The sequence below is a fragment of the Homo sapiens genome, chromosome 12, assembly GCF_000001405.40.
Source record: "Homo sapiens chromosome 12, GRCh38.p14 Primary Assembly".
Classification (NCBI taxonomy): domain Eukaryota; kingdom Metazoa; phylum Chordata; class Mammalia; order Primates; family Hominidae; genus Homo; species Homo sapiens.
Genome location: NC_000012.12, coordinates 93,417,396 through 93,436,224, shown reverse-complemented (window position 1 = coordinate 93,436,224; position 18,829 = coordinate 93,417,396). Strand labels below are relative to the sequence as shown.

Sequence of the window (18,829 nt, the reverse complement as noted above, 5' to 3'; positions counted from 1 at the left end):
AGGAGACAGGTGGGAGGATTGGTTTGGCCCAGGAAGTTGAGGCTGCAGTGAGCCTAGATCGCGCCACTGCACTCCAGCCTGGGCGACAGAGTGAAACCCTGTCTCAAAATAGTAATAATGATAATAATGAAAATGATAAAATACAGTCTTGGGAAAAAGTAGTTAACTTACCCTAGGGGTTGACTTATTTGATTAAAACCTAGTGAGTCAACCTGCTGGAATTAGAATTTTACCAGTCTTTCGCAGAATTTACTTTATGTCTCCCTTCCCCACTGGTCCCTTGTCTATGGTGCTTAAAAATTTACTTAAGAAAATACATTTAATTAATTTTTTGAAACAGGGTCTCTGTCACCCAGGCTGAAGTGCAGTGGAAAAATTTACTCTTCTATTTGGTGTGATTTAGCCTCAAATTCTTAAAAATCAGATACAGTCTGATTTTACATTGAGACTTGAGTTTACTTTTTTAATAGGATTTTTTGAAGTACACACATTTTTTCCTGTTACTGTTTAAAAGCCACTCATTTGATAGGTATTCTAGTGCATAAGGTATTTTTTTTTGTAAGAAAAGTGATTTAGAAAACTCACCTTTTATTTATTTGAGACGGGAGTCTTGCTTTGTTGCCCAGCCTGGAGTGCAATGGCACAATCTCGGCTTACTACAACCTCTGCCTCCCAGGTTCAAGCAGTTCTCCTGCCTCAGCCACTGGAGTAGCTTTACTCTCTGCCTTGAACATTTTTTTTTTCTTATTTTGAGATGAAGTTTTGCTTTTGTTGCCCAGGCTGGAGTGCAATGGCGTGATCTCGGCTAACTGCAACCTCTGCCCCCTGGGTTCAAGCAATTCTCCTGCCTCAGCCTCCCTAGTAGCTGGGATTACAGGTGTATGCCACCACGCCCAGCTGATTTTTGTATTTTTAGTAGAGGCAGGGTTTCACCATGTTGGTCAGGCTGGTCTCGAACTCCTGACCTTTGGTGATCTGCCCACCTCGGCCTCCCAAAGTGCTGGAACTACAGGTGTGAGTCACCGCGCCTGTCCTATCTGTTGTTTTAAGCTCTGAAAATACTTGTCTGATAATGTTTTCTTCCAATTAAAAAAAGGCATGGAAAAGTTACCATGATGTTTCAGAAATATATGTACCTCCAGGTGGGGGCAGGGAAACTTAGCCAGGTATGGTGGTTCATGCAGTAATCCTAACAGAAGACTGAGGCAGGAAGATCCCTTGAATCCAGGAGGCCGGGGCTGCAGTGAGCTATTAGTGGCACCACTGCACCCCAGCCTGGGTAATAGAGGCAAGACCCTGTCTCTTAAATAAATAAATAAATAAATAAATAAATACAAACTCATTATGATGAAGACAGATTTGTTATAAGTTGTAATTAAAATCACCTTTGGAATTTAAGAAAAAACTTGTAAAAAATTTGACTAGGAACAGTGGTTCTTTAGTTCTTTCAGTTGTCTCACTTAAGAATTTTCTGACCTCTTCCTAGGAAAAAAAGCTATTTTTTTTAACGTATGACTTCTGGGGATTCAGATTCTTGCCAAGTTTATTTGTGGATTCCCTAGGTCTCCATGTGCTCCATGTTAAGAATCCTTGAACTGCTTTTGATAGTGATTAAACTTTCAGGCTCTAAAGATACTGTTTTAATATACTATCTAATGTTTTGATTATGAAATGTGAGCATAACTGAAAGTAAGTTAAAAATAGCAGTCAGTTCAGTATTCTTTTTTAAGCTCCTCTGTGTCAAGCAGTTCCTTTAGTCCAGATTGATCAACTCCTGCACAAGTGAAATTAAGTTTTGTCAAATTATCAAGTACTTTAGTATTCACTGTGCTAAATGACTGTGACTGGAAATGTTATGCATTTGCTTTGCTCAAGTTTGGAATTTTTTCCACACGTGTTAATGACCACTCTTAAAACCAGAGTTTTTTTTTGTTGAGACGGAGTCTCGCTCTGTCGCCAGGCTGGAGTGCAGTGGCACGAACTCGGCTAACTGCAATCTCCACCTCCCAGGTTCAAGCGATTCTCCTGCCTCAGCCTCCCGAGTAGCTGGAATTACAGGCACGCGCCACCACACCCAGCTAATTTTTTTTTATTTTTAGTAGAGACGGGTTTCACCATGTTGGCCAGGATGGTTTCAATCTCCTGACCTCGTGATCCACCCACCTCGGCCTCCTAAAGTGCTGGGACTACGGGAGTGAGCCACCAGAGTTTTACACATTAGAGAACATCTGTTCTATCCTTTTCTTTCTCTGGTGAGGAATTTGTAGGCCAAAGAAGTTGGATGACCAGATTCCTGATGTACAATTCGGTTCTTCTTCTTTTTTCCCTATACCTTATAGGATAGTTTACCTGTGTAAATGGATTTAAGAAGAAAATATGCTACAGATTCAAGTTGTATGGATTCTGAACACACATTATGTTTTCTGTTATAATGAACTATGGATGCATATGTGCTATAGAAATAAATACTAGAAACAAGGAAATGAGGACAGCAGCATCCAGCAGGGGCTTTTGACATTACAATTATAGTAATCAGAGTTCTGATTTAGGTGCCAAATTCGTATCTTATACAGTGCTGCTTTCTAAAAACAAAATAAATATGAGAGGCATAGTTTATGTAATAATATTATATCAAGGAAAAGAATTCTTATGTGTGTATGCGAAAAACGAGTTGGACTGTTGTTTCATTAGAGTTGAAATTTTCTTTGCAAATGTAATATATGAAGGAATGAATGTGGATATACCAATTAGGCAATTAAATAATAGGGAATCTTTTAACTTCAGCTAAAATCTTAGCAGCTTTTAAAATTTCTTCCCAAGTGAAGTGATTGATGGCCCTAGGGTCTTTTGTGGCAGAAACATGACTGTGTGGTTGGAAGAACTGGATAATTGGTTAAGAGCCCTCAGAATCAACAGAAATACTTCATTATTATTCATTCTTTCAAGGGCTACATGACACCATTGGGGGCATTTTATATTTTTTAAAAATCCTGGCCAGGCGCGGTGGCTCACGCCTGTAATCCCAGCACTTTGGGAGGCCGAGGCAGGAGGATCACAAGGTCAGGAGATCGAGACCATCCTGGCTAACATGGTGAAACCCCGTCTCTACTAAAAATACAAAAAAATTAGCTGGGCGTGGTGGTGGGTGCCTGTAGTCCCAGCTAGTCGGGAGGCTGAGGCAGGAGAATGGTGTGAACCCGGGAGCAGCAGAGCTTGCAGTGAGCGGAGATCACCCCACTGCACTCCAGCCTGGGCAACAGAGCAAGACTCCGTCTCAAAAAAAAAAAAAAACCTGAATGAAGCTATTCTAAAATTTCTTGAGTACTTAGGCACAGACATTTTTGGTTTTGAATTGGCCAGTAACTGAGATGCTTCTGAATAATTAGGATTCTACTGTAATTTAAAGTAATTTTAGATACTGGTTTCAGAATCTAAGGTTGACATATTTTGCATTAAAACAACTGGCTATGTTGTCTTTAGATTTTCAATTTTTTTTTTAGTTTTCAATACCTTCACATTATGTCTCTGTCAGTTTGGTTAATTTTGGGCAAATGAATTTATATTTTGAAAGTCTTTACAGTTCTAGGGATTGAAGGCATTGTAGTTAAGGAAACACTAGAAAGAACTAACAAATTTATATCATGAAACCATTGGTGATTTTTTTATTGCTCTGTAACTTTCTTAAGATTATAGCTTATACTCGGGAAAATGTTAGTAAGTAGCTGTTTTGTTTTGTTTTTTTTTTTTTGTGACTCTTAAAGACAACTAGATTACCATCTTACTATGAGGCAGGGACAAAGTGGTTTTAGTAACATAGGCCGATCCCAAGGCCAAATTTCAGTTTTCTGTAACCTTGTGATTTGCGTGTCTCTTTATTATCCATTCATGAGATTTTTTTTCAGTTCAATTAATTGGACATTCATTGAATGCATAATATGCATTTACCAGTAAGCCAGGTGAACAAGAAAGGCATCCCTGTGTAATGGAAAACACAGTCATGAAACAAATTTCTGTGGCCCAGGCTGGAATGCAGTGACGTGACTTGGCTCACTGCAACCTCTGCCTCCCGGGTTCAAGCAATTCTCCTGCCTCAGCCTCCTGAGTAGCTGGGATTACAGGTGCACGCCACCACACCCGGCTAATTTTGGTATTTTTAGTAGAGACAGGGTTTCACCATGTTGGTCAGGCTGGTCTCAAACTCCTGACCTCGTGATCCGCCCGCCTCAGCCTCCCAGAGTGCTGGGATTACAGGCAGGAGCCACCGCGCCCAGCCGAGGAAGTGTTTTTAAACTTGAAGAGTAAGAGTTTGCTGGGCCAAGAGAAGGAGGGAGTGTGAGTGAGTTTTTGGCACATGGGGCAGCAGATATGAAAGCTGGAAGGAGAGACAGAAAGCATGGCATCATCTAGAAATATAGTATGTGATGGATAATAGAATCAGGGTCTCATCAAAAATAATTATTACTGTTTAATGACTGTGTTCAAAGAGTTGGCATCAAGAATTGTTAGGCAAACAAAGTGTTTCTAATTATGAAATTCATATTTAGTCTGTGAACTATTCACTAGCATGCAGTGTGGCAGCTGTTCCTGAAGTGAGGTTGGTCATATAGTTTTTATTATGTAAAAATAGACATCTTTCATTGGCATCGTGTACCAGGCACTGTTCTAAGCATGTTACGTGCATTAATTTACTTAATTCTAATTGCAGTTTTATGATGTGTGGATATTAGTATCATTCCTATTTTATAGCTATGGGAACCTGCACAGAGGGACTTATTAGTTTCTAGAGCTATGATTTGAACCCAGGTGGTCTGATTCTGTAGACTGTGGATACTGAAGAACATGTCTATTCCTAGATAATAACTGGCAGTGCATGTATTTTTATACTGTATCATTTGGACACATGAAGTGGAAACATGTTTAAGAACAGGATCTAAGTGCTTAGCTTACTTGTTTTGGGTTGTGTTTTGTTTGTTTGGTTGGTTGGTTGGCTTTTTTTGAGACGGAGTTTTGCTCTTGTTGCCCAGGCTGGGAGTGCAATGGCACGATCTCGGCTCACTGCAATCTCTGCCTCCCAGGTTCAAGCGATTCTCCTGCCTCAGCCTTCCGAGTAGCTGGGATTACAGGTGCCCGCCACCACACCCGGCTAATTTTTGTATTTTTAGTAGAGACGGGGTTTCACCATGTTGGCCAGGCTGGTCTCGAACTCCTGACCTTGTGATTCGCCCGCCTTGGCCTCCCAAAGTGCTGGGATTACAGGCATGAGCCACTGCGCTTGGCTGTGTTTTTTTTTTTAAGATAGGGTCTCACTGTGTTGCCCAGGCATGATCATGGCTCACTGCAGCCTCAGCATCCCGAGTAGCTGGGATCACAGGCATGCACTACCATCCCCAACTAATTTAAAAAAATTTTTTATATATATATAAAATATATATTATGTACAATATAAAATATATATACATATATAATATATATTACATAGAGACAGGGTCTCCCTATGTTGCTCAGGCTGGTTTTGAACTCCTGGGCTCAAGTGATCCTCCTGTCTCAGCCTCCCACAGTGTTGGGATTACAGGCGTGAGCCACTGAGCCTGCCGCTTTTCTTGGTTTTTTTTAATCAGAAGTCTCTTTATTGTAATTTAATTAGAGGCTTTCCTACAAACATGAGACCCTGTTTAGTAACATAGTTCACTTTAAGATGGAATGCCTCTGGTCTGGATGGCATATTCTTTTCCTCCCCCTCCCCACCCAGCCAGTCCTGGATTTGAGGAATTTTGTGGTTCTGGTGAGAAGGGACTCTTTGCTGCTCTTTCTTACCGGCAAAATATACAGTCTTGAATCACTTAACGATGGAGTTACTTTCTGAGAAATGCACCATAGGCAATTTCATCATTGTGTGAACATCATAGAGTATATTTATACAAACCTAGATAGTGTAGCATGCTACACACCTAGGCTATGTTGTATAGTCTGTTGATCCTAGGCTACAAACCTGTTTAATATGTTACTGTACTTAATACTGTAGGCAGTTGTAATGCAGTGGTAAGTATGTGTGTATCAAAATAGGAAAGGTACAGTAAAAATCTGGTATAAAAGATAAAAAATGGTATACCTGTATAGGGCACTTAACCATGAAGGAAGCTTGCAGGACTGGAAGTTGCCCTGGGTGAGTGAGTGGTGAGTGGATTTGAAGGGCTAGGACATTACTGTACACTACGATAGACTTTATAAGCATTGTACACTTAGGCTACACCAAAAAATTTTTTAAAATGTTTCTTCAATAATAAGCCTTGGCTTACTGTAACTTTTTTATTTTATAAACTTATATTTTTAAACTTTTGATTTTTTTGTATTAACATTTAGCTTAAAACACACATCATACAGCTGTGCAAAAATATATTTTCTTTATATCCTATAAGCTTTTTTCTCTTACAATCTTTTTTAAAAAAACTTTTTTGTGAAAAACTAAGACATACACACACATATTAGGCCTATTCAGGATCAGCAGTATCACTGTCTTCCAGCTCCTCTTGTCCTACTCGAAGGTCTTCAGGGGCAGTAACACACATGGAGCTGTCATCTCCTGTGACAACAGTGCCTTCTGGAATACCTCCTGAAGGACCTGCCTGAACCTGTTTTACAGTCAACTTTTTTTTTTTTTTTTAACAAGCAGAAGGAATACACTCTAAAATAATCAATAAAAGTATAGTATAGTAAATACTAGGCAATAGGAATTTTTCAGTTCCATTATAATGTTGTGGGACCACTGTCTTTTGTGCAGTTGATCATTGACTGAAACTCATACAGCGCATGACTGTATTTAAAGTACCACTGAATCAGACTAATTTTAAACGAGAATTTTTTTTCTCAGTAAGTCTAAAAATATGTTAGAGTTATCTTGCATTCATTTATATATCAAGTTGAGTTTTGTGTTTTCTTTCTTTCTTTTTTTTTTTTTGAGACAGAGTCTCCCTCTGTCGCCCAGGCTGGAGTGCAATGGTGTGATCTTGGCTCACTGCAACCTCCGCCTCCTGGGTTCAAGCAGCTCTACTTCCTCAGCCTCCTGAGTAGCTGGGACTACAGGCGTGCACCACCACACCCAGCTAATTTTGGTATTTTTAGTAGAGACGGGGTTTCACCATGTTGGTCAGGCTGATCTTGAACTCCTGACCTCGTGATCCGCCCGCCTCAGCCTCCAAAAGTGCTGGGATTACAGGCATGAGCCACCGCGCCTGGCCTACACTTTTTCAAATAAAGTGCACTGTCCAGGACCCTGTCTTTATTGTTGTGGTTCAGGTAAGGGTTAAACTAAAAGTGCTGCAAGTTCTGTTCAGGGGCCAGCACTGACTGTGCTTAGAGAAGTACTTGGCCAGACCTTGCCTATTTCTTCTCCTAGTTTAATTGGCAGGGCTGCTGATGTATTGGCAAGGATGCCAAGACAAGAATCTATGGGCTATTTTCTCTGAACACTTGTTTCTAGTCTGAGTACTTAGTTCATGGTTATACATTGGAATTATCTGGGGAAGTTTGTAAATTTAACATTGCCAGCCCAACATATTTTTGTTGTTTTAAGAGCTGCTTATGATTTTAGTGTACACTTTGCAGAAACACTGGTCATATGTGTGCTTGGCTTCAATGCAAAGATGGGTAGAATGGGAGACAAAAGTAAAATCATACAGCTAGCACTGCTTTGTATATTGAATACAAAGGCATCAATGGGAACACCAAAGAAGTGACAGACTGGCCTGGAAAACCCTCAAGGTTGGTTTAGGGAAAGGTTTTTAGAGGATGATATTTGAGCTGAATTTTGAAGCATAAGTAGAAAAGGGGGAGTAGAATGTCGACATACCAGACCCAGGAGATATTTGAACTAAGACTGTGTAACTTGAGTCAGCATGTCTATGCTTGGATCACAGATACTTAGCTTCAAAAGTAATCTTTTAACTTGAAGTTTCTTTTCTTCAGAAGTGTAGTCCATGAATATATATTCATTACTAAAATTTCTGTTGGCTGGGTGCGGTGGCTCATGTCTGTGATCCCAGCACTTTGGGAGGCTGAAGCAAGTAGATTGCTTGAGCCCAAGAATTTGAGAAAAGCCTGGGCAACATGAAGAAGCCCCATGTCTACAAAAAAATACAAAAATTAGCCAGGTGTGGTGGCACATGTCTGTAGTCCCAGCTACTAGTTGGGAGGGTGAAATGGGAGGATCACTTGAGCCTGGGAGGTTGAGGCGGCAGTGAGCCAAGATTGTGTCACTATACTCTAGCCTGGGCGACAGAGCAAGATCCTATCTCAAAAAACTGAAAACTCTGTTAACATGCTGTGAATATGTTATATACTAAATAGTCAAGTAATAGATATTTATTTTCCCTTCACTTACTTTTACTATTCCAATCTCTAATTCATCGGTAAGATTCCAAAATCTCACTGAATATTGAAGGAAAACTCAAATGCTTCATTTATTTTTTTGAGGTATAATTCTCATACCATAAAATTCACCCACTCAAAGTGTACAGTTTAGTGGTTTTTTCATGTATTCACAAAGTAGTACAACATCATCACTTGCTAATTCCAGAAGATTTTTGTCACCCCAAAAAGAAAAACCCTGTGCTCATTAGCAGTCACTCTACCTTCAACCCCTGGCAACCATTTATCTGCTTTCCAATTCTATGGATTTTCCTATTGTACACACTTCATATAAATGGAATTATACAATATGTGGCCTTTTCTTTCTGGCTTCTTTCATTTAGCATGTTTTCAAGGTTCATGTATATTGTAGCATGTATTAGTACTTCATTCCTTTGTAAATATTTTACCTGAAGTGTTTTCTAAATAAAACCTTTTAAAAAGTGATAGTGCTGAAGGGAAGCAAGGTAGAATTTTTAGGAGATAGGTAATCTGTATTGGCTCTCATAAAACTAGTCACATGTGAAGCCTGCATTGCTTTAGAACAGGGATTTCCAACCTTTTGGCTTCCCTGGGCCACAGTGGAATAAGAATTGTCTCATGGCTGGGCATGGTGGCTCACGCCTGTAATCCCAGCCCTTTGGGAGGCTGAGGCGGGCCAATCCCTTGAGGTCAGGAGCTCGAGACCAGCCTGGCCAACATGGTGAAACCCTGTCTCTACTAAAAATACAAAAATTAGCTGGGTGTGGTGGCACACGCCTGTAATCCCAGCTACTTGGGAGGCTGAGGTGGGAGAATTGCTTCAACCTGGGAAGCAGAGGCTGCAGTGAGCCGAGATCGTGCCACTGCACTCCAGTCTGGGCGACAAAAGAAAAAAAAAAAGAATTGTCTTAGGCCACACATAAAATACACTAACACTAATGATAGCCGATGAGCTTAAAAAAAAAAAAATCTGCTGATGCACCCATGAGAGGGGAGACAGCACTGTCGTCTCTCGCAGTTTTCCCTTAACACTCCCTTATCTGCAGACTTAAACTAGGAGCCCCTGGCAGAGTCCTACCTCCAGAATCACAAAAGTGTAGAAGGAAAGTGAGAGACATTGATTGACTTTATATCTGACTTACTAGTTTCCTAAGGCAGAGATTTTTTAGAAAACTGCCTGGCCTGGCCCAGCCCAGGATAGATAGGGATGGGTAAGAAGCCCTTGAGATGTGGCAGTATGTGGCTTGACTTCAGACTTGTCAGATTAGGGGTTTTATAGGGTTTTTTTAGCTCTTGTTTTGATTAAGCTTGTTTGACTTGCAGGGTGTCTCCTACCTGTGTTCCAGCCACCCGATTTCCTTCCTCAAGAAAACTGTTTACTTACACTATTCAAATTAGTTATTCTCAGGGCTATTTTTATGACTTTGTAGCTTTTTTTTTTTTTTTTTTGGATGCAGTTTCACATAATAACATTGCTGGCTCGTGTTGCTAGCAAGAACTGATTCCAGCATTTATGTTCTTTGAATGTATTGTCGCATTCTTTCGGAGACTCAAGCTGTCCACATGAAGTGGATGAATTTGACCCAGTATTATTGTCCATCGTACTCTATTGTAATACATCAGCCCTAGTGTGTAAGTTTGTGCTTATTTCAGTTACATTAAAATCTGAGTTGTCTGGATCATTTCCTCTTCTGGCTTAGTAGTGCAGGACGAGATAATCTGAAATCACAGAAGAGTAAAAAATCTGCTGAGTTATTTACTCCAGCTGGATCTCTTAAGACTGTTCAAATTTCAGACCTAATTGATAATCTGTGAAATATTAAAGTCCCTAACCAAGCTGTTTCATTTCAGATTCTTCCCAAAACCTTGAGGTAGGGGAAAGAATCATCTTTAATATGTCAACTCGTGATTATTGAGGCAATGATCACTTTTTTAAATTGAGGAAAATGCTTATTAGATTGTTGAAGCTGCCTAGAGGGGCAAAAGAAGTGATAAGGCTGGTATCTCTGGTGCTTCGTAATTGGTCCATTTAAGTGTATGACCTGTAGGAATAGTGTCAAAGCTAAGGCTTTTGGACAGACGTGTGAAATAGTTTGTAAAGATTCGGTTTGGAGTCTTGCAAGTCTTTTTTTCTGCATACTCCTGCTCTTTGCAGTCACTGCTTGGCTAGGCCTACTATTTTTGGAAGTTCTTGAATTTCCTTTTAACCCAGTCAGTGGTTTTCCTTACTCTGTGGGGTTGGTCTCAGGTAGTTCTGCAGTTGATCTGTTCATTAACCAGTAAGAAATGCAAGACACACTGGTGTCCAACATTGGGTCTGCAAATGTTAGACACAGGCCTTGATCTCTAGGAACTAGTTTAGTTGGAGAGACAGTAAGGTAGCAAAGTGTGTAAGGGATGGCTTACAGAAGGTTCATTCCTACTGTAGTCTTTTGCTGACCTCTTAATTGACAATTGACTTTCAAGATGGTAGAAATGCTGCTTTTCATGACTAAAATAATGTTTTATGGCTCAGAGAGCCTTACTTCCTAATTCTCTAGAGCAAAACACTGATTTAGGGAATATGAAATGTATGTTTATGTATGGCAGGAACAAAGAATCTGAGGCCAGACTCTTGAGTTTGATTTCTAGCTCTGCCAAATATTAGCTTGGGCAACCTCATTTGACCTCTCTGCTTCTTTATCTGCTTAATATACTAATCTAGCTCTATGGTAATTGGAAGGATTAGAATGTAAAGAACAGACCCTAACGTAATACTGAGCCTTATGTAGTGTTGGTTATTACTGTTTTCTGACTTTGCAAAGATGCTGCTTCACCATAAACATAAAAAGATTGAATGTCTTCCTAGTGTGTGGGAAAATGGTTTGTTCGTTTCATAAACGAAACAAAGTTCATTTATGTATTTGTTTCACAAAATAGATAACATTAAATATAACTCTCTGAAGTGAGGCATAGATTTTGTGAAAGCACAATGAATGCTCATTTACCGACAGTGGATAGCAAAATGGGATGTTTTGGGTAAATAACATTTTGATTTCATTAAAATTATCATATGTGTAATCCATTTTCCATGGGTTAGGTAATAATAAAGTTGATCTTTGCAACTGCTAAATTGAAGTTTTATTTTTTAATCCAAAGTATTTCACTGTATAACTTCAAGAGGCGCCATTTATGCAGACTGTCATACGAATGGTCCTCTCCTGAAGCTGTGCGGTATGGTTAGCCCTGAGAGAGGATGCTTACTGTGTGGGAGACAACCCTCCAATATCTGCATGCTTTCATGTTTCCTAATTTATCTCAGAGTTAGTATGCAGAGTGTGAAAGACTGTTTTAATTTTTCTTTCCTGATGGTTTGGATTTTATACAAAATTGTGTTACTGGTACAATTGGATTGAGAATGCAAATCTGAGCGAAATGTAACTTGTTTTTTTGTTTGCTTCGCTGAAAAGTTCAACTGCTCTGCTTCCATCTGTTCTTGTCTTGCCTTACCTATTATGGAGTCCTCAGGCATTAAATTTTGTTGTGATTGCTGCATTTGAAACCAGAAGTAACCTGAAGAAAAAGGGTCGAGTAAGTAAATACATGGTAGCTATACTAGTATAGTCACTAGCTTGTAGGCCAGGAAAAGTACCTGTTTATGCCGTATGGTTTTTAAAGAATATTGATTTGTCTGTAAATCAACTAGCCTTGAGGAAAGTGGCTGCAGTGACACAGGAGTGAAAAAATGTAAACATATTAAACTGTTTTTAAGGGCTTTTGTCTTTATCAGAACAACAACAACAAAAAACATTCTAGAATGTTAATTGGATTTTGGTTATTAGGAGAATGGCTAATTTTATTTAGATTAATTTTATGTATTTCTTTAATGAGCAAGTGAAAAAAACTTGGGAAAAAAGCAGGTGCCCTTAGCAACAAATTTTCTCTTTATTTAGATATTGAACGTTGGCATAAATACCAGGATGACAGTTCATAATATCCTTCTCCTTCAGCAGGGAAGACTAAAACAGTAATTATAGGCCTAAAGAATGTTATTACAAAAGGGGACCTTCCAGTAGAAAGAAGCATATAGCAATAAGATTCAACTCATTCTAATAATAATAAAGTATTCAGACAATTTTGGTGCTATAGAGAACCTTTTAAATGTTCAAGGGACATTTTAGAAGGCTGGAGAGGTAAATGATTTGTCTGTGGTCACATATCACATTGGTACAATTAAAATTGGAATTAAATTCAGATGTGCTAACTCTTGAGCCTCTTCCCCCTCCCCACGCTAGGTACACCAGGCTGCTTAGTTGAATTTAACTGTCTAATGTGAAATTAGCTCCTCCTCTAAAAGGTTTTAAGTAGAAGTTCTTTGATAAAGAGATTGGTTGACTTGTATGCTCTCCTCTTTTGACTTCATTTAATCCCAAAGAGTTATTTAGCTTCTTAACGTATTTACCAGCCCCCAACCCCCTCCTGCCTTGGTCTGCTAACTCTTAACCTTTTCTTCACTTCCTTTCCTATTGAGTTTAGACTTCATTTTAGCAACCAACAGAAGCCAGCTTTGGCTAGTTTAAGCAGAAATGATATTAAGAGTTATTAGTTACCTCACACATTCTTCAGGAGGGCCAAAGAAAAGAGGGAGCCAGGAACAAACTTCAGAATCACATCACGATGATTTCAGTGCTCACACTGTGTGCAACACATTCTACAGTGTGTGCGGTGTGATTATTGATGTCAAGCGCAGAATGCTACCACTAGAACTCTGCTGCTGTCTTAGTGGTAACTACTGCAGTTCTCTCCAGAATGGGTTATTTCTTTGCTTGTGATGCGCAAGAAGTGCTGGATGCATACTACCAACCTCATTTTGCCCTAAATGCTTCCAGGCAGTCCTTTTGTGTGACCACGGGTAAGTTTTTCTTTTTCTACAAGTTACTTAAAATTTTTACAATTTTCTTATCTCCCAGCTCCAACATTATACTAAAGAGTGGGAGCTAAAGGAACATATGAATGAGTGGGGGAATTTTTAACATTGTTTAATAGTTAACATAGACAAATGACTAAAATTACACATAAGGGCCTGAAATGAATTACCAACTTGAAAAAAACAAGTAAAATTTTATGAAAGAAAAAACCCACAATCTACATCATTTTTTACATAAAAGCTGGATCAAAGAAAAAAACCAAGTTCACTGGTTTTTGCTAATAAATCTTATTATTTTAGTGTTCACCACATAAAACAGGCTTTTAAAAAATTTCCCTAATTTTAATTCAAGATGAATACAGAAGAACATTTCCTACCTCACCTACTAAGTTATATACCCACTCCCAGAACCTAAAATATGCAATAGGTTTGTTAATAGTGCCTCGAGGACCATGGCACACAGCAGTCCCAATGAACTGTGTTACTAAGCTAGGTCCTTTCTTTTCATTCAGCATTCTGAGACATCTCTGTCAAATCATTCCTGAGATAACAGAGTTCATTAAGATAGACAGCTACATTATTTAAATCACTAAAGTCTTATTTTTATTTTTTGAGCTGGTGCTAAGAAAAGTTCAGGCAATGAAGTGTTATGTCATTCATCAAATCAGGAACCATAGAAAATGGAGATGCTTGACTGCCACGAGTCTACTAATTATAGTGCTGAATATTCAAAGGACATTTTTACCACCAAGAACTTCATGAGTGTTTTATGAAGGAATAGTTGACACCATCTTTAGCTGTGATGCCAATATTTGGAAATCTTTGAAAAAACAAAGAGGGAAAAAAGATGGAGACGAGGTTTTTAATCTTTCCAGAAAACTTTAAAAATGTCTTTAGAAATAAACAAGAACATAATAGCCCTGTAATCTGGTTCTGCTCTTCATATATTAATAGTATCCTAACTCACACCTCCTGTACCTTAAGACCTTGACTACTCACAATGAAATAAACTGCTGGATGCCAAGAAGTTTTACTCTTCCTTCCAGTTATTTAATACCACAATGCCATGAACAAAATAGCAATGAGTAAACATTTGTAAGTAAATTTATATTTCAAAGTCACGAAACATTTTAGAGCATGTTGATCTCATGCACTATCAAAGATAGGCAAAATGGTTTACCATCTGATAATTCCAAGTCAAAATAGTATATACCAATTTTTCAATCAAATCAGTTTTTTTCCTATTTTTATCTTAATAAGACTATACTTTTCTGGTTACCAGTTCAAAAAGAAAAAAAAATTTATGACATTATGGCTTAAATTTACCTTTTTCATGAAGCACCACTTCACGATTATGAAGGGTTGAAAATAGCCCTTTTAACTCCCGTGCTGTTTACTGTCCCTGCCAAACATTAGACATTTACTGCTTATGTAGTTAATTGTCTTTATTGTATACCATCAAGATTAGGAAACATGGGCCGGGCCCGGCAGATCACGAGGTCAGGAGATCGAGACCATCCTGGCTAACACGGTGAAACTCCGTCTCTACTAAAAATACAAAAAATTTAGCTGGGCGAGGTGGTGGGTGCCTGTAGTCCCAGCTACTCTGGAGGCTGAGGCAGGAGAATGGTGTGAACCCGGGAGGTGGAGCTTGCAGTGAGCTGAGATTGTATCACTGCACTCCAGCCTGGGTGACAGAGTGAGAATCTGTCCCCCCAGCCCCCCCAAAAAAAAAAGAAAGAAAAAGATTAAGAAACACATCCTGAAACCAGACTGAATAGAGCCCAGCAGCTTGGATTTGAATCTTCACTCTGTCATTCACTAGCTTTGGTCGATTACTCTTTGTTTCTCAGTTGTAAAATGAGTATGAGGATTAAATGAGCTAATACATATGTAGCACTTAAGTCAGTATTTGGCATAGTTTGTTCTTAACTGTTACCCGAGATTTTCTTTTATTGATTCTCTGTATATCTGGGACAGTGCTTGATAATTGCATGTGGTCCCTGCTTTTATGGGGCTTACAGACTGGTGGGGAGGAAAATATACACAGACTATAATACAACCTGATGTGTTTAGTGGGCAGAAGAATTGGGGAGGCAAGATAGACAAGAAATAAAGGAATTCAGCTTAACAGTTTTTCTTCTTGGTGGGACAATTTGTTAGTAGGATTATTCTGATTTTTGTCCATTGTCATTGTCAGTGATTGGAATAATCTTAAATGCTGTTCCTGAGATGGAATTTACCAATGAACACAGCAGATACAGTATTCCTCATCAGCTCTGGGTGGTACCTAAGCATTGCAGATGTTCGTTCACCAAGCAAGCATTTATTTAGAATTTACCACCATTTACTAGCTGGGGTTCCTCTCTTCAAATAGTTTAGGGTCTGAGAAGTAAACCAGCAGTTATTGTGCGTAGTTACAGTAAGTGGAGAGGTGGTAATGAACAGGAAACTGGAAGTACAAGGGAGAAACTTTTAGACTAATTCAGACCTGAGATACATTCTGATGTATCTCAGATTATATATACTTTGACTTTCAGAAGTCCCTCCAGCTCCCAAGTCTCCATTCCTTTTCACTGAGCTTCACAGAAATATTGATCTGGTCTAGGTTTGAGGGAAAAAATTAGGATGTAGAGATTTCTAGCCCAAGTCATCTGGCCCCATCTGTTCATTATTACTTCAAGTGGAATAGAGAGTACTTACCTATTTGTTACCTATCAACCCATAAATAAAGCTTTTCCCAAAAAAGGAATACTCTGGTCTAAAGTACTCTGAGATTTAGTCTTTGGTACGCAGAATCTTAGAAATAGATTTTTCTTCCGTTTTTCCTTCTCTGAATCTGCCACCTAAGAAATTTTGAGATTTAAATATGTGGGAGTAGAAGGGAAAAGAAAGAACAAGGGAGGGGTGTGTCTTGAGAATCATTATTCTCCATTTGACTTTAGGATAGGCATTTTCAGGAAATTCTCATGGACCCAGTTAGCTTATCTGGGGGAGTCTAAGTGGTTAGGAGCAAGATAGGCACAAGAGGTGAAAGCAGAAAGGGAATACAAAATTGTCTTAGCTTTGCTTGGTTTGCTTTTATTAGTTTTCTTAAGCTATTTTCATTTTATTTACTGTTGGAATCTATAGGTCTTTTTCAAGGACGTGTTTAGGTAGGTGCTAACTTTGGTTTGGTTTTACCAAAGCAAGGAGTGATCATATAATGTAAGTTTAAAAAGCTTAGCAAACTTGGGTACAGTAACTTTTAAGAGCATCAGTTTTTTCATTTGCAAAGGAAAGGTGGTGAAATAAGTAGATGATGTCTTATGTCCACTAGGGGGTAGTGTGTACTGTAAAAATTAAAATAGTTCCTCAGTGAACTCTTTACTTCATCATTCAGTTAGCTTGTTTGAATTAATTTTTGTTCATTTAATGTGTTTTGAAATTGCCATAAATTTTTTTCAAACACAATCTTGTGAGTGTAGCAAACAGCAACTGTTGTTACATGCATTTCTGTTATTAGTGATGTCAAATGTTCTGACATTACTTTTTTTTTTTTTTGAGACGGAGTTTCACTCTTGTTGCCCAGGCTGAAGTGCAGTGGCACGATCTCGGCTCACTGCAACCTCCGTCTCCCAGGTTCAAGTGATTCTCCTGCCTCAGCCTCCCGAGTAGCTGGGATTACAGGCATGCAGCACGAGGCCTGGCTAATTTTATATTTTTAGTAGAGACAGGGTTTCTCCATGTTGGTCTCGAACTCCTGACCTCAGGTGATCTGCCCGCCTCGGCCTCCCAAAGTGCTGGGATTATAGGCATGAGACACCACGCCCGGCCTGACATTACTTTTTGTATAGAATTTTTTGAGGGGAAAATAGTGATGCTTTAAAGTTTCTGTACAAAATTTTACCTATTATATGAAATAAATTAAATTATTCATAATGACCAGGCAGTAACATTATAACATGATTGTCTTGTGTTTCACTCTCCAGACTAATTTGGGAGCCACTAATCATTCCATGTGGCTGTTGAGTAGTTGAAATATGACTAGTTTAAATTAACATGTGCTACAAGTGTAATTTGCACAGTGGGCATTGAAGGCTATGATAAAAGATAAAATACATCATTAATTTCATACTGATTTCATGTTGAAATAATATTTTGAATACATTTTTAGATAAAATATATTAAAATTAATTTTACTTGTTTCTTTTTACTTTTTTATTTGGCTACTAGAAAATTTTTAAATACTTACGTGGCTTGTATTATATTTCTGTTGGATAGCAGTGCTGTGGAGAAAAGTACTCATCAGCCATTTTTATCTTAGTGTATCTCTAGGTGGCCTTATGATTTGTAAGGAAGTAGTGTAATGGGGAGCTTGAGCAAAACTTTGGTTCTATTTCTAATCCCAGCTAGAAAATAGGCAGTCAGTTTTACTATAATGAGACATTATATGTTTCTAAGAATGTTATGTTATACAAAATCATGTAGTAAAATTCACAGGGCTTACAGATAAAATGAAGCAAGGGGTATGCACTTGAAAATGTCCATTGATGATAATTAACTTTTTGTTTTGTTTTGTTTTGTTTTTAAGAGACAAGGTCTCACTATCGCCCAGGCTGGGGTGCAGTGGTATGATCACAGCTAACTGTAACCTTGAACTCCTGGGCTCAGGCAGTACTCCCACCTCAACCTCCCAAGTACGCTAGGACTATAGTCATATGCCAGCATGCCCAGCTAATTTTTTTAGTTTTTTGGTTTGCAGAGATGGGGTCTTGCTATGTTGCCCAGGCTGGTGGTAACATTTTTTAAATGCTCACTTATTGGGCCAAGTGTGGTGGCTCACGTCTGTCATCCCATTGCTTTGGGAGGCCAGGGCGGGAAGATTGCTTGAGGCAGGAGACCAGCCTGGGCAACATAGAGAAACCCATCTCTACAAAAAAAGTGATAAATAAAAATGCCCACTTATATATATAGAGGGTGAACTTGCAGATTCTCATAAGTAACTTACAGTTGTGTACATAATGAAGAATTGACTTGCTTTATTAGTGATCCCAAAAAAGGAGCCCGTTTGTTTTATCTTACAAATTTTTCATAATTTTTTTCTTTATTTAAATTTTTTTTCTATAACACACAACTTTGTCCAGAACCCTGTTTGTTAATATTTTAGAATCGCTTAAAGATGTAGTGACAGGTTGGAGTTTACAGAGTAGGTATCATTGAAGCATCACTCAGTTTTTTAACACTTATTTTTCAGTAATGAAATTGGCAGTTACTGAGTTATCAGACAGCTCTTGTTTGAGATGAGCTAAAAGATCTACAGTTGATATTACTGGTCATATATTGCAATTTTGTGTTTCAGAGAATATTCTAAAAAACCTAATCACTGTAGACAGGATGCACTGGGATATAGATAGTTACTAACTGGACCAACTTTTCTCACACACAAATTAGCACTTTTTCTAAGAATACTGTTTATTACCCCAAAATTTTACTGTACATACTCCAATCATTGCCTTGCAGAAGAGCATCTAAGACCTGTCATTGCTTCGTACTGAG

The 18,829-nt window shown here is 38.6% G+C and overlaps 1 protein-coding gene across 1 annotated transcript in view, besides 1 other annotated feature; it reads left to right on the top strand.

Moving 5' to 3' along the window:
• Positions 1 to 18,829, top strand: part of UBE2N (ubiquitin conjugating enzyme E2 N) — a 36,264-nt gene that overhangs the window by 5,723 nt on the left and 11,712 nt on the right. The gene's annotated exons all lie outside the window — the stretch shown is intronic.
• Positions 9,787 to 9,836: an enhancer, noted in NCBI's record as "active region_6768". NCBI's record gives its function as "activates an Ori minimal core promoter by ATAC-STARR-seq in GM12878 lymphoblastoid cells {active_cell/tissue: GM12878}" and the evidence as "EXISTENCE:reporter gene assay evidence [ECO:0000049][PMID:35858748]".